The sequence below is a fragment of the Homo sapiens genome, chromosome 13 (genome assembly GCF_000001405.40).
Source record: "Homo sapiens chromosome 13, GRCh38.p14 Primary Assembly".
Lineage (NCBI taxonomy): Eukaryota > Metazoa > Chordata > Mammalia > Primates > Hominidae > Homo > Homo sapiens.
The window spans coordinates 39488605-39504389 of NC_000013.11; the positions used below are offsets into that span (position 1 = coordinate 39488605).

The following is a 15785-nucleotide window of genomic DNA, read 5'->3' on the forward strand; positions in this document are numbered from 1 at the left end:
CTTACTACCAAATGAAGCTATAATTGTGTTTAATTGGATCATGTAATGCATAATTATTAATCATTATAATGTATTTTATAATCAGCGCCTAGTAGCCAGGCTCAGGACTCCCCTTCCTGAAAACATGAAGCAAAGTACATCGCTCTTCAGTTCTATGGTCACCCAATGAATGGTGCTAATTAGATTTAAAACATCTTTAGATATTTATCATAGATAGCATAAGACGTCAAAAATCAATTGTTATCAATACATCAATAACCACCTCTTGGATTCAACCATGGGACTTTGCAGATACAGCTTTAGATTCTATCTCCTTCATCATGAACTCAGAGGGTGTGGACATAAATGCCCCAATAGAAAACCGTCTGCTTTATGTGGCTCCTTTCCTTCATCTGTTGGCTTTCCCGCTTTACTCCACCTCACAAATGATCTGAACAATATCATTTAAGGACTCCCATCTCTCCTGTTTTACATAAGATCTACCAGCAAAATGTTCAGTCCTGACATGTTCTTTGACACACAGTTTTGTGGCATCTCATTAAGTAGTTGTGTTTGATGTCCACATCAAAACTGGTGTGCAAGTCACTGAACAATGGTATGAGAACCTAAATACTGACCGTACTGGGAGGTCTAGGAACCTTGAGGAATTGTTTTGCACAGCTGATACTTTCTTCTTTTTCTAGAGTGAAAGAATCTCTTTGCTGGAGCACGAACCTGGAAGTCAGGGGGCCCAGGTTCCAGTCCCAGCACTGTTCCTGATCAGGAGTGCTTCCTTGGACAAGGTCTATCAGTTGTCTACACCAATGCTTCATCAAAAGGGTTAGTCTTGATCATCTCTCAGCTCCTTCTTAATCTTAAAATATATAGAAAATAATATGATTCCATGGCTTTTCATACACATGTTTGTGTTAAAGGTATATCAAAGGAATGGAGAAGTATGCTGTGGCTTTTTTTTTGGAGGGGAGCGGGGGATAGGGTCTCGCTCTGTTACCCAGGCTGGAGTGCAGGGGCATGATCTCGGCTCACTGCAACTTCCACCTCCCAGGCTCAAGGGATCCTCACCTCAGCCTTCCAAATAGCTGGGACTACAGGCACGCACCACCATGCCCGGCTAATTTTTGTATTTTTAGTAGAGACGACGTGTTTCACTATGTTGCCCAGCCCAGTCTCGAACTCCTGAGCACAAGTGATCCATCCGCCTCAGCCTCCCAAAGTGCTGGGATTACAGATGTAAGTCACCATGCCTGGCCTGGCTTTTTGAATTTGAATTTACTATACAACTTTTGGATTTACTACACAATTTCTAAAGGGCTGGAGTAAAGTTTAGACCTCTGTTTAAAGATCCACAAAACTAACAGTCCCCATAAACAAGAAAAGGTAACAGATGAAATTAAAAGCAAGCACCAATTCAAATCAAATCCAAACTGCTATTCTTTTGCCTACAGTTGGAAACCTGGAGACAACAAGTAATAACAGATTAAACAAACAAACAAAAAAAAAAACAGGAAACGTCACAGAATTAAGAAGATCCTATACAGAACTTCTGCTTCTCTTCTTCCTCTTCACTGAGTGCAAAACACGCAGGAATTGCTTGGATTCTAAAACACGGAATTCCGAAACACAAGAATTCCAAAACATGCAGGAATTGCAGGAATTTCTTATGCAGGAATCTCTCTCTTAGAGACAATAGAGCCACAATACAAGCGCAAACCAAGAGGGAGGTAAGTCTCTAAAAGCCTGATAGGGGAACAAAGCAGGGTAGATAAAAATCATAGTCTCTAAGTGGGTGTATGGATAAATCAGCCTTAGAGGACACCCAAAAGAGAACAGTCCTGGTTTAGCCACCGGTAGGCTCGCTCTCAGGTACAGCAGTCTCTGTGTTAACTCCATCTCCACTCTGGAAAAAATCATGCTGGATGCAATGAATGCAGGTTTGCTGGAGTCTTTAGGAAAAAGACAGGGCTACAGTAAGTCAGTAGCTACTAATGCTACATCTGTGGCCATGTAATCAGCTGTACTGCTAAGCATCTGCCACAAAATTGCCACTATGACATGTGAACTGGTAACACCACAATTAGAACAATAACATCGCAAAGTCTAAAGGAAGCTTTAATTATTCATTTAATTTGAAAAGTAAAGCTGGAGGGGACAGCTGCTAAGGACACAGTTTTTCTTTACTCATTGCTACTTATTTGGCTTTGGGATTTTTCTATTCTTAATGTCACTCTCTTCCCATTTAATGAACCCTGATTTTCCTGGAAGTCCTATAGAAACGAGCAGTATTAAATCCAAGTACTTCCGATTATTTCAAGCATGTGGGCAAAACATTAGCTCTCTGCAACAGATGACCAACTCAAACTCCACTGGAATGAGGGTCACTCTGCTATTTAATGCACTCAAATGGTGTAATTAAAATAAAGATAGTGACTGCAAAGTGCCTCTAAGTTTAGACAACAAAGATTTGTGAGTCTACCATGGCACATATACACTACTCCAAGACTTTATAGTATAGAAAACGAGAAACGTATTTGCAAGAAGTACAAGGCAAAATGTGAAGCAATGATGCCACATAAGGTTTACAAATTTGGAGCCATTTACAAGGAGGAGGAAGGGGTAACTTATGATTGGGGATCAAAGAAGGACTCATGGCAGAAGTGACATGTGAAGTAATTCCTAGTCTGGGCCATGAGGGAAAATAGCATTTCTGACAGCTGGGTTCGCGTAAGGGATAACTCAGAGGCAAGAAAGAGCGGAGGGAGCTTCAAAGATGGGGAATGGTTGCAACTAGCTGAAGCAGCAGAGAGAAGGCCTGAAAGAGAGTGGAAAATAGGTTTTAGAGGGCTCTGAAGGCCTGCCTCAAGAGTCTACATTTTATTTGGAAGCCAAGAGATAAACCAACAGTTTTTAATTAGAAAGCCATAAATTCACGATGGTTCTTTCAAGATTATCTTTCTGATGAGGATGTGCAAGATTAAATTCAAGGGAAATACCTGGAGTTCACTTGGGAAGCCACAATTAAATCCTCGGAAGGACTCGGTAAGGACATGGAGTGGGGACAAGGGGAAAGGAGATAATCTCTCCTTCTAAAGTAGGGCTGTCCAATACAAATTTCTGCAATGTGAGCCACCAGCCACATGCAGCTACTAAGCACTTGAAGTATGGCTAGTTCAACAGAGAAAGTAAATTTTTAATTTTATTTAACTTTGATTAATTTTAATTTAAATAGCTACATGTGGTTAGTTACTACTATATTGGACATACAGTTCTCAAGTAAAAAATATGTACAGGTAAGAAGTCAAGAAAATCAGGCAAAATGACATTAAAGATGTTTAAACAAGAGATGGCAGAAATTTACATTACTTTTGATAGTTTCTCAAAATGTTTGGCATGAGCCAAGGGCCTCTTAAAATACATTAAGCTGTGACCTTCTGGCAGATGGGAACGGTTTTCATTCATCTTTCTATCTCCTTATCTCTAGTACAGTGCCAAGCGCTATAAGTACTCAATACTGTGAATGACTAAATGAATGAGTTAATGAATGAGTACATTGTGAATATGAAGTCTAGAACTCACCATTAAAGAATTACTGATTTAGGGAAATCTGTTTGTAGGTGAAGATAGCAATTGTGGGCTGTCTCCATAATGTCATTCCCTGAGTGACCCCAAAATAAAAACTCTAGAGCATATGAACTAAACAGGCTGAATGATTAGCATTCACTTTCTTAGTAAAATAGGTAATGTTATTTTTGTTCAAGAGCATTAAAATAGCCAAAAGAATTTATACGAATGCTGGAACCTTAACATCAACATACATTTATAGTTAAATGCTTTTAGAAATCAATTTTCTGATTATAAAAGGAATACATATTTCTTGTAGAGACTTTGGAATGTATTCAAATAAAAGAGCAAATAAAAATTACCTACAGTTTTTAAATCAAAGACATTCATTGTTATTGTGTTTCCTTTATGCCTTTTTTCCTGTGTGTATAATATACATATTTTTTCCAAAAAAAGGTAAATTTTTATATTATAAGCAATGTCAATATTCTTTTTTATTTTTATTTATTTATTTATTTTGAGATGGAGTTTCACTCCTGTCGCCCAGGCTGGAGTGCAATGACATGATCTCAGCTCACTGCAACCTCCGCTTACCTCAACCTCTGCCTCCTGGGTTCAAGTGATTCTCCTGCCTCAGCCTCCCGAGTAGCTGGGATTACAGGCATGCACCACCACGTCCAGCTAATTTTGTATTTTTAGTAGAGATGGAGTTTCTCTATGCTGGTCAGGCTTGTCTTGAATTCCCGACCTCAGGTGATCCTCCCACCTCGGCCTCCCAAAGTGCTGGGATTATAGGTGTGAGCCACTGCGCCCGGCCTCAATATTCTTCTAAAACAATTTTAATAGCTGTATAATGTTCCATCATGTGAATATGCCCTAATTTCTATAACCATACTCCTGCTGTTGGTCATTCAGGTTCATGCCAATCTTCTAGAATGCCATTTGGTGATTTATATTAAGAAACTTAAAATACTTATAGCATTGACCTAGGATCTCACTTTTAGGAACATATTATAAGAAAATAGGCCAGGCACAGTGGCTCACACCTATAATCCCAGCACTTTGGGAGGACAAGGTGGGCAGATCACCTGAAGTCAGGAGTTTGAGACCAGCCTGGCCAACATGATGAAACTCCATCTCTACTAAAAAAAAAAAAAATAGGGAAAAAGAAAAGAAAAGAAAAAAAAGAAAAGAATCCTCAATGGGCACCAAAGCATTATTCGTAATACAGTAAGACTGCTAAAAGGCTTTAACATCAAATAATAAAAGAATCATAAATTATGTCACGTGAATTTTATAACACATGTAAAAGTTGTTTATGAAAAAATTGAAATGAGATAGGAAATACTTATAAAACAAAAACACACAGAACCAACTTACACAGATAGGATAATCACCACTTTTTAAGACAAAACCAAAACCTGTTGCATAGAGACAGAGAACAAAAGCCTGGGAATGGCAAAATACTAGCAATGGTTGTCCTTGACTAAAAAACTGTAAAGTAATTTTATCTGCTTCTACCCCAGCCTTCCCACATATGAAATGCTCTATAATAGACGCAATTTTCTGTTAGTGAATCAAGAGTGTCCTGGTTAAGAACACAGGGTGCTCTGACCCTATCATCAATGTCCTCAGGAAAGACATCAGGGCTCATGGTGATATCTAAGACCTTCTCTCTTATTGTTTAGGACATCAAGAGACAAGTTTCTCTCTATTTTTATATAGAAAAGCAAACAAGCATGATTTCTAAGCAAAGAAACACTTCACAAGAAGTTTGCACACTACATGTTTTCATCCCTCTTCTTAGAAGGTGCAAGGTGACCTAGCTTTAAACCTCAGACCATAGTCAAAGAATGTTAATCTCATCAGCTCCCCACTAGAAAGAAAAACATTACATTTCCATGTCAGTCTCAGGCCTCATGTAGGGGAATCTGCCAAGGGTACCCCATAATACCATTCAAATGTCCTGGGCAGGTGGTGTTCATTTATAGTCATGACCATTGTGCTGAAGCAATTACCCCTGTGAAAAGGCAGGAAGCACTGTGAAAGCACACTGGCCTCAAATGCCATCATTACATTTGCAGGACTATTGCTAGTCGCAGCTCTTAGCGCTGCCCATAAGGAAGGCACTGTGCTAAGCAGTTCGTGGCATTTTTTACCATTCATTTCCCCTGTGGTAGATAGGGAAATAATCATTAAGGACTTGTTAATAACCCCATTTCATAAATGGGAGATTGAAGGATACAGAAGGTAAGTGGTCTGAGGTCCCTCACTTAAGGAGCATCAGAGATGGGATTCCACCTTGGCAGCCTGACTAGGTACACAGCCTGACTCCTGGCCACCCCGCTCACTCCCATACAGCCCACCATGCTCATAAACTCTGCTCTGAATGTTATTTATAAAATCAGGTTGGAGTTTATATCCTTATTTTATGCAAACAGTTTCTAGCTAATGTGCAAAATTATCCTAATCATGTCAAAGTAAAAGGAAAATAATTCACAGAAGCCCCTTTCTATAGCTACAGCTCACAAAACTACAGCTTCACTAGGGTATTTAACTGGAATTAAGCTCTATAGTCATTTAAGATTTAATTGGAATCAAATGTGCCACACTTACCATACTGACATAGTCACAAGAGAATAGAATTGTGCCGTGCCAAAATAAATGTTTCTCTGACTGAGATTATGGGCATTCCTTTTCAAATTAATTAGTTCAGAATTTTCCATTTTTATTAACAGATTGCTTATACTACCGATCACATGAGCTGGCAGCTGGAAAGTCATTTAACTGTGTGACTGTGAGCTGCCTATACTGCCCCACCACTGCATACGCCAACCTCAGGCCTTGAGTTAGAACATGAAATGACTGCACCCCACTCTCCCATCTCACTTTCTCCGTGCTCACCACATTCATATCTATAGGTAGAAGGTAGCAAGTGGAAAACAAGCAAACTTGATCAACTTCCAGGCTTAGGAAAACAGATGTGAACCAAACAGGGAAAAGTCTATTTTCCAAGTACATTCGCTATGTGTTGCTTTGAGACCTTGTAACACATTTTATTAACATGAAAATATGCCTCAAATTAATGAATCTATTCAGATTTCAGGGTACTGGTCTTTCAGAACCTCTTTATTAGGCTATATTTGCCATTTATAGCCTCTCTCACGCTGACCGGTTGATTTCATTTAATAGGATTCAGTGAGTCTAGTCAATCATGTATGGAATTTCTCTTATAATTCATTTTATGATAATACCTTTCATTTGTATTGTACATTGTAGTTCTCAAATCATTCATTGAGTGATCACAATATTTCAGTTATAGGCATCAAAAGAAATCATGCCCATTTTAGAGGCTAGCAGTGAAAAGATAAGTTGTGGTACTGCATGGAGCAACTCAGTTGATCCATCTGGATATCTTTCCTTTCAACGACCATACTAGGCTTTTTTTTTTTTTGTAAGTATATGATCGTGTAATAACTGAAACATTATAGATTCCTAGATTGTATTATTATCTCTCAAAACTGTTGTAGTAAATCAATATGTATAATATGCCTACTAAGTGCCAGATACCAACCTTGAAGCTGGGGATATGAGAAGCTTGGGATGTAACTCAATAATTTTTTTTTTTTTTTTTTTTTTTTTAGTAATTCACCAGATTATCCTGCTGCATGGCCAGGGTTGGGACCAGCAGTGTTGTAGAAAGACTTCAGGCTTCAGGAATTCAAGGGCCTGGGCTTAAATCTGGCTCAACTGCTAGCCAGCTAGGTGACCAAGGCAGTTATTTTACCTCTCTGAGCTTCAGTTTGTCTAGAGTCAAGGGAAATATGGATAAAATAAAATAGTGGATATAAAGGGTCTGGCACATGGCAGGTATTCTGTCAATGGTAACTCTATGGAAAAGGGAGATTAGAGAAGAAGAAAGAAAAAAGACAGCTCAGCCAACTTGATCCCTTGCATCTTTGTCTGGGCTGCTGTGACAAAATACCATACCCCGAGTAACTTATAAACAACAGAAATTTATTTAGCACAATTCCAGAGCCTGGGAAGTCCAACATGAAGGTGGATTTGGTATGTGGTGAGAGCCTGTCTTCTTTTTGTGTTCTCCCATGGTGGAAGGGGTAAGGTAGCTCTTGGAGGCCTCTTTTATAAGGGAACTAATCCCATTCATAAGGGCTCAACCCTCATGACTTAATCAGCTCTTAAAGGCCCCATCTCCAAATATCATCACCTTCAGAGTAGGATTTCTATATATGAATGGAGAGGGGCACAAACATCCAGACGACAGCACCTTGAGACCATAAGACTAGTTTTATAAAATGTGATGTAACAAGACCCTAAAGAAGGCTCTTTCAAAACCCAGCACTTACTTCAAAAATGCAGGCATGCAATGACATTTATACTTCCCAAATGCAAAGGACCAGATGTCTGAGTGTCAAAGAAAAACATCCCTTCTGGAGAAAACAGGCTGGATAATTCATCAGTAGAGAGATATAAAAGAGCATGCAGCTTCATGAATGGCTAGACCAAAAATACTCACCACAGGAAGGCAGGAAATCTGTTATTAGTGAAAAGGCTAATTACATCTCATTTTAGAGAATGTTTGCTCTACTGGCCACCACAGGGATCCAGGGGTGGCAGGTGCCAGAGGCATTTCCAATGACCAACTGGGAGTGAAGTGCTGTCATCATTCTCCATGATACCCAGGGGTATAGCTCAGTCACTAGGAGAGATGACCACAGTATTGGCCACATCTCTGATGTGCAGGCTGCAGGTGGCTCCATGAAACCTCTGTACTAAAATCATAACACTCTGCAATCAAAAATGCAGAAGCTTATCCCAGATCTAACTGCTGGCTGTAAATTGTGGAGCTAGAAAAACAAAATTGAACTATTACCTTCAGTAAGGAGTATGGATTCAATGATAGATCACTTTGCTCATCATCTTGAGCAAGTAAACTACACTCAAAATCTACTAATGCGCTTTAAGCCAACCCCCACTTATTACAATCTCCACAACAGGCAGACTGAAGGCATGATGTCAGGTTTTATGGTAATGCTTAGAAAAAGTGAGTAAAAAATCGGCTATCACAAAGCCACAAGCACTGTACTTACCGGCATTGACTTTGAATACCATGAGGGAAAGGTCAAGGTGAGAGAGGCATGAAAGAGCTGATTTTATTCTCAATACATGAGCTCAAATTTAATAACTTTGCCATAATTAAGGGAGAGAAATGCAGAGAGAACGCTCCTATTTATAGGGACTACCGAATTCCCAGTAGGAATTTCATGTCATCTCTGGTGCTACCCTCATGCTAAGAGGCACTTGGAAGAAGATGCCACTCCTTAGAACAAAGTGTGCATTTTTAAAAACACTCGGCTAACATTTACTAGCATAATTTATTCCTCTCTAGCAGTAAGATTTTTCTCTTTTCATTTTGTATAGATATGGGCAAAATTAATTTGGAACTAATGAACTGGTAATATGTGTACAGGAGTCAATAACTGATAAGCCTTTCTGCTTTGATTACATATTTAATCTTCTGGGTTTATGATAGCAATTCCAAAGATGGGGGGGAGGAACACACAGCTGTTTAACTTAGGGTTTATTTTCTCCTCTCTCTTTATACTGTTGAGAGTGCCAGAGATGACAGTAATAGCATTATCTGATTTAATTTCAGTAGCAATCTTTTTAATTTAATAACTCTGATGTCAGCTTCTCTGTCATGTTGCCAAGTTTAATTCCCACTTCTACACGATTAATACTCTAATGAAGACACTGATTTTAGTGCTAGTATACACTTGTAAAGCTTTGCTCTTCTTAGCTACAACTGAAGCCTCTGCAGCGAACTATGATAAATTAACCCCACCTAGAGTCCCTATCAGTCACGAGATTAAAAACCATCGAACATTTCCATTTTGCTCTAAAACTTTATTACCATATGGCACATTTAACATTTTAGTATCTCTTTAATTTCCAAGTATTTTACTCTGCTTCTGGTGATTACTCCCAAACCACTCCACAAAAAGTAAGTGGTCCAGTTTCTAATTAAACCTCCAGAGAACAAGTGACTTTCCCCTAAGACCGGACTTACCCCATGCCCAACTCAGAATCAACTGAAAACCTTTTTTGTTTCCTAGTCACCTTCTCCATTAAAGTAAAGAGCATTTACCAAGCACCTACTCTGTAGAGGGTTGTGCTAAACCTGGCTGACACAAGCTAATCACATCCTATTTGTTAAAGTACTTCAAATGATTTGCACGTTTTCTATCTACACATAGAACAGTAGGGGGTATCAGGATCCTTTTTAATTCTAAAAGGCATATTGGCCCCTTTTTCTCGTTCAGATTTATTTAATACAAAGTTTAAAATCAGGGAGAGAAGATCAGTAGAGACTGAAAGTCTGAATAATTCAAGTATGCAGCTGTGGTTGGGAAGTCCAAAACACAGCCCAGCTCTCAAAGCGTAAAGCTACATTAGGAAGAGATAAACAAGCCCCCAAATATCTAATTTAACAAAGGTAACAAAAAGGCACTGCCAGCTCTCTGTGCTAACAATTCAAGGATAAAGGGTGCAAGGAGTGAAGTCCATAGTTCTACCTCTCTGTCCACAGAGATGAACTATGCACCTTGGATCTCCCACCAGCAACTACAAAAACCTCCCATGGTGATATTGTGAGGCTTTGCCTTTTCCCCAAACTTCTTTTTCTTTTCTTTTGTGAGACAAAGCCTTGCTCTGCCATCCAGGCTGGAGTGCAGTGACGCGATCTCAGCTCACTGCAACCTCCACCTCCCAGGTTCGACTGATTCTCCTCCCTCAGCCCCCCAGGTAGCTGGGATTACAGGAGCGCACCACCACGTCCGGCTAAATTTTTTTGTATTTTTGTGGAGACGTGGTTTTGCCATGTTGACCAGGCTGGTCTTGAACTCCTGACCTCAGGTGATCCACCTGCCTAGGCCTCCCAAAGTGCTAAGATTACAGGCGTGTACCACGCACCCGGCCTGCCTTTTCCCCAAACTTCTTAACCTCATGATGACTATTAAGAGCACCAACCAATCTCTTTTCTATACTCAAGGCATGGCAATGAGCTGTTTTTCTTTTATTAACCCTGTTAGAAGTCATAGTGATTATTTGTTTACAGTGATGGTCAAAGTTTGTCCTCTTGGGTTTTACAGAAATGACTCCAAGCCAGGCCTTCATTACTTTGTACCTGGATCATGGCAGCAGCCTCCTTGCTGGTCTTCCTTCCTCAGTCCTCTCCTCCCTTCACCATCCCTTGAGAGAACAGACCTGCAGCCCAGGCATCCTCAGCGCCTCTTTTCAGATAACCACATTCCTATTTAAAACAGAACCAGCCCATGCCCACTCTCAGTCCACGAGGTCCAGGTGTAGATGGCCCTATACGCCACCCTTTCAGGAGAGACGTGAACCTGGTCTAGCCTGTCTGAAACCAGAGGCTCAATTCTAGGACACTACCTGGGTTTCTGAGAATTGGATGTAGGCCTGGAGCTTCTAGCCATCAGCTTAGTGCTGGAGAAAGGCACCTCCCTGAGAAAGGAGCTGGCACAGAGATGGTAAGAAGAGACCCATAAATCGTGACTTTGCCAGAGCCCCTGGATCCAGCAGGCTGAAAGCCAGGCTATCTTTGGTCTTCAGTAACTTGAGCCAATAAATTCTTTTTTGATCCAACTACTTTGAATTGGGTTTTTGTCACGTGCAGCTGAAACGGTCATGCCTGACACAATCACACACATTGTTGACATGACACTCTTACTTGAGAATCCTTCTGTTGTGCTATTTTGTCCAGGATTCTAGAAAGTTTCCTGCAAAATCCAAATGAGTTTATTCTTTTTTTTTTTAATCAAACTCCTCTCTCTTACCAGTTGGGTCCTTTTTACCCCCAGATAAGCCAGTTTCTCTCTGTCTTGACCCCCAAGGTCCTGCCTCAGTATGTTTCTTCAAACCCTTCATCATCTCACTTTCCAGGTATAAGCCCTTTGCATTTTGCTTTTTTTATTTTATTGGGGTTGTTTGTTTATTTTTTTTGTTTGTTTTATTTTGAGACAGGGTCTTGCTCTGTTGCCCAGGCTGGAGTGCAGTGGTGGTGCAATCACAGCTCACTGCAGCCTCGACCTCCTGGGCTCAAGATCCTTCCACTTCAGCCTCCCAAGTAGCTGGGACTATAGGTGCATGCCATCATGCCTGGCTAATTTTTTATTTTGTGTCTGGGACTATAGGTGCATGCCACCATGCCTGGATAAATTTTTATTTTGTGTAGAGATGAGGTCTCTCTATGTGGCCCAGACTGCTCTCAAATTCCTGGGCTCAAGCGATCCTCCCACCTCCCAGACTCCCAAAGTTCTGGCATTATAGGCATAAGCCACCGTGCCCGGCCCCCATCTCAATTCTTCTTTCTACTTCCATCGGCACTAGCTCATTTCCTGTATTCCTTATTATGCACCTGCTGATAGATTAACAAGGATGTCATTCCCTCAATTAAATCATAAATTTCTTAAGAAAAGGCCCATGAATTGTATATTAAATGTTCTCAAACCTTTTAAAATGTATACTACGCCTCTTGATAAGTATAAAAATTTGACACCTCTTTTAATTTCAAAATAAATTAAGTATTCTGACCAAAAGCAAACCCAGTATTTCACATAGTATTAAACATAAATTAAACTTGGACAAGAAATTTGGATTGTGTCTCTCAGACCAGTGATTTTCAGATTTGAGTGAGCATGAGAATCACCTGGAAAACTTAGGAAAACACAGATTGCTGGGCTCTACCTCCACAATTTGTTTTTCAGTAAGTCTGGGGTGGGGCGTGACAATGTGAATTTCTAACACATTCCCAAGTGATGTTGATGCTCTCCTTTGGGGACCACTGCCCTGGAGTCTCATCCTTTCCTCTATCTTAGTTGTTGAGAAAAGTGTGGGCACCTTTGAGGTCTAGATTCAGAAGCCCACATCATAGGTGCCCGATCTGTTCTGTTATTCCCGGTGTTGTTATATTTGCTGTTAGCAACAGGAAGTCGGTGTCTAAAGCTGGACTAGTAAGCAGGCCTTTTGATTCCCAGTCCAGGGTTCTTTGAACTCTGCCACAATACCTCCTATGTGGATACACCATTCAGTATAGTGCCAGCCTCTCACGCTATCCTTTCTCGTATCTTATTCTATTACTTTGCGCTACAGTGTTTGAAATTATCTTTCTCTAAACAGCCCAGAATTTTTTTTTACATCATAGAATGTATTTTTTCCTTCTGCCTCCCGAATTCAATTAAAATTCAATGTTTAGAGAGTCTGTGCTTTAAAAGAAATTAGACAATGGGCTTAAACTTGCTCCATTACCTTCCCCCCTAACAATTATTTACAATTTTCCTACAAAACATATTGAGGCTTCCCCCCAGGCTCTATCTATGGGATTCTCAACTTTATTGACACTGTTGAGGATGGTTATTTGTGGCATTTCACAAAAAAAGAGGGGTTGGGGGTGGGTGAGGTATGGAGAAACAAGATTCATGAGTTGAAATGTTTTCTCTCCATTTACCCCATGGAGAGGGCAGGCTGGAACCCCTGCTCTTAGTGTGGTCATGGAGTTTCTAAAGAGACATCAACCATGTGTTCAAAAGCTTGACAAGAGGCTGGCCCAGAGCGAACCAGGGCAGAGAAGCATGAGGCTAAGAAAAAGAGGAGCCAAGAGTCAAGCAATTAACATTTTTTCCATGCTTCACTATAATTAGCCAGATCAAAGGGGACCTGGGCTCACAGATTTCACCAGGCCACATGACTCTCGCAGGACAGTGAGCCAAGGGCCCAGGAGGTCTGCAGTACAACTAATTGTTCATGGGCAGAACTCTGTTTTCTTGTAAATCACTCTCTTGTGGATTCCTTATCACTTGTTCTGATTCTGAAGTGCCACACTGGGGAAAATCCCCAGGCCCTACATGGCTCCCATTTACAGTGTTTGCTGTGTGTGTCACAGATGGTGCACAAACACCTCAAAATGGCCTTGCCAGGAAGGCTCTGAGGCTAGAGGTTAAGTAGCTTGGCCAATGCCTGACTGCTAGGAAGTGGCAGAAACTGAACTCAGATTTTTCAAAAAATCAGTGATTCGCAAATGCTCCTCCTGATCATACAAGAGTCAACTCAGCAGCATATTAAAAATACACATTTTGGCCAGGCACAATGGCTCACACCTGTAATCGCAGCACTTTGAGAGGCCAATGCGGCAGGATCGCTTGAGCCCAGGAGTTCGAGACCAGCCTGGGAAACATGGTGAGACTCCGTCTCTACAAAAAATTAAAAAAAAAAAAAAATAGGCATGGTGGCGCGCCTGTGGTTCCAGCTACTCAGGAGGCTGAGGTGGGTGGGTCACTTGAGCTCAGGAGCTTGAGGCTCCAGTGAGCCATGATCAAGCCACTGCACTCCAGTCAGAGCAAGACCTTGTCTCTAAAACACACACACACATACGTTTTGAGCTAGTAAGTCCAGGGTGAGGGTGAAGCTGGAACACAGGATCTTTAAAAAGCCCCAAGTGATTCTATTTTCCCTCAGGTTTGGTAAACCAGTATCAAAAGTTAAAAGACCATTTGTGGAACTCCCAACATACTAAACACAGAAACTCCATTTAATGGGACTTTTACAGATTCCTTAACATGACAGTCTCTTCTAGTCTTTTCCAGAGTAATAAATACATTTTCTTTTTTAAATTTGTATTTATTATTGTTGTATCTTATTTATTTATTTTAGAGACAAGGTCTTGCTCTGTCACCCAGGTTTGAGGGCAGTGGTGCGATCATAGCTTATGGCAGACTCAAACTACTGGGTTCAAGCAGTCCTCCCACCTTGGCCTTCCAAAGTGCTGGGATTACAGCCACAAGCCACCACACCTAGCCAATAAATGCATTTTCAATTACAATCCATACATATGTGAGTCCTATGCCCAGAACTCTGGGTGGTTCCAAGCTGCACTCAGAACAGCCAGAATGCTTACAGTGACTTATAAATGCTACCTGACCCGGCACCCTCAACCACTGGACACATCGCTCCCTCCCTCATTCCTCACAAAGGCACTAGCCTCCCAGCCATTCTACAGACATTCTAGGAATTCCCACCTTTGTGCCTTTGCACTGACTGTTCCCTCTGCCTCTAACACGTTTCTTCCAGATATCCACATGGTCAACTCTCTTGCCTCCTGTCTCTGATCAAACAGCAGCTCAATAAGGCCTACCTGACCATTTTATTAATATCTAAAATTGCAACCATCCCCCCCACATACTACCATAACTCCCAATCCCCTCCTGCCACTTTGTTTCTTTTTGCCATAGCACAATCAGCTTCTAACATACCACACAATTTACTTATTGTGCTAATTATTATTTATCTTTCCCACTACAGAGAAAGCTCCATGAGGCCAAGGATTTTTGTCAGTCTAATGATGTATCCCAAGCACCTAGAACAGTGCTTGGTATGCAGTAGGTGCTCAATATTTGTTGAATTAATGAATATAATTGAAAGAAATTTTACACAATACGTAACCTTACTATGTCTGTACACTGATATTCTCTATCCAATTCTATTCAAATTTACTTTATTAAGTCTTGGCTGCAACTCACTAGTAGGTCACCCACAGTTTGACAAGCAGACTTATTTTGCCAATAACTTGCTGAATGCCTATTTAGGGCCCAGATCAATTTCCCAGAATGTGCCTTTTGACAAGTCAAATACAAAAAGCTTCCTCCAAAAGTTCTTGAAGAGTCTAACAATTAAACATGCTGGCAGACCATGTATAAATAAGAAAGATGATAACATGGTAAAATTAGAAGTTTTGGTATATCATTCCATTGCCAAAAATGTTAGCTTTGATAGTGCCATCACTTTTAATGGCAAAAATTGCTTTTGCACCAACCTAAATAATAAATATATGACTGTGGTGAGGCAAGGCATCAGTGAGTCACCGGAAGGATCACTAACATGTTTTAAATTATATTAATATATCTGTAGCACAGAATAATGTTTTAAAGCATATAGTTTAATCACAATGTTTTATAAATTTTCCTTTCAAAACTTAAATGGGAAGGACTGGTATTATTTCAGATTAATAAATCCAGATGAATAAGATTAGTAGATCCAACATTATCATTAATGACCAAATATTTGTAGTTATATCTTATGGGATCTTAAATCTTTTCTTTAATCTTAATTCGACTGCATATTTCAGAATTTAA

At 40.3% G+C, this 15785-nt stretch overlaps 1 protein-coding gene across 2 annotated transcripts in view, besides 2 other annotated features; it reads right to left on the reverse strand.

Annotated features, from left to right (window-relative positions):
* The window catches only part of LHFPL6 (LHFPL tetraspan subfamily member 6), a 260302-nt gene that overhangs the window by 145713 nt on the left and 98804 nt on the right, over positions 1–15785 (reverse strand). The window lies entirely within an intron of this gene.
* Positions 9639–10283: an enhancer, noted in NCBI's record as "OCT4-NANOG-H3K27ac-H3K4me1 hESC enhancer chr13:40072380-40073024 (GRCh37/hg19 assembly coordinates)". NCBI's record gives its function as "activates a minimal SCP1, AML or CMV promoter by ChIP-STARR-seq in naive H9 embryonic stem cells {active_cell/tissue: H9 hESC(naive)}" and the evidence as "EXISTENCE:reporter gene assay evidence [ECO:0000049][PMID:30033119]".
* Positions 10284–10928: an enhancer, noted in NCBI's record as "OCT4-NANOG-H3K27ac-H3K4me1 hESC enhancer chr13:40073025-40073669 (GRCh37/hg19 assembly coordinates)". NCBI's record gives its function as "activates a minimal SCP1, AML or CMV promoter by ChIP-STARR-seq in naive H9 embryonic stem cells {active_cell/tissue: H9 hESC(naive)}" and the evidence as "EXISTENCE:reporter gene assay evidence [ECO:0000049][PMID:30033119]".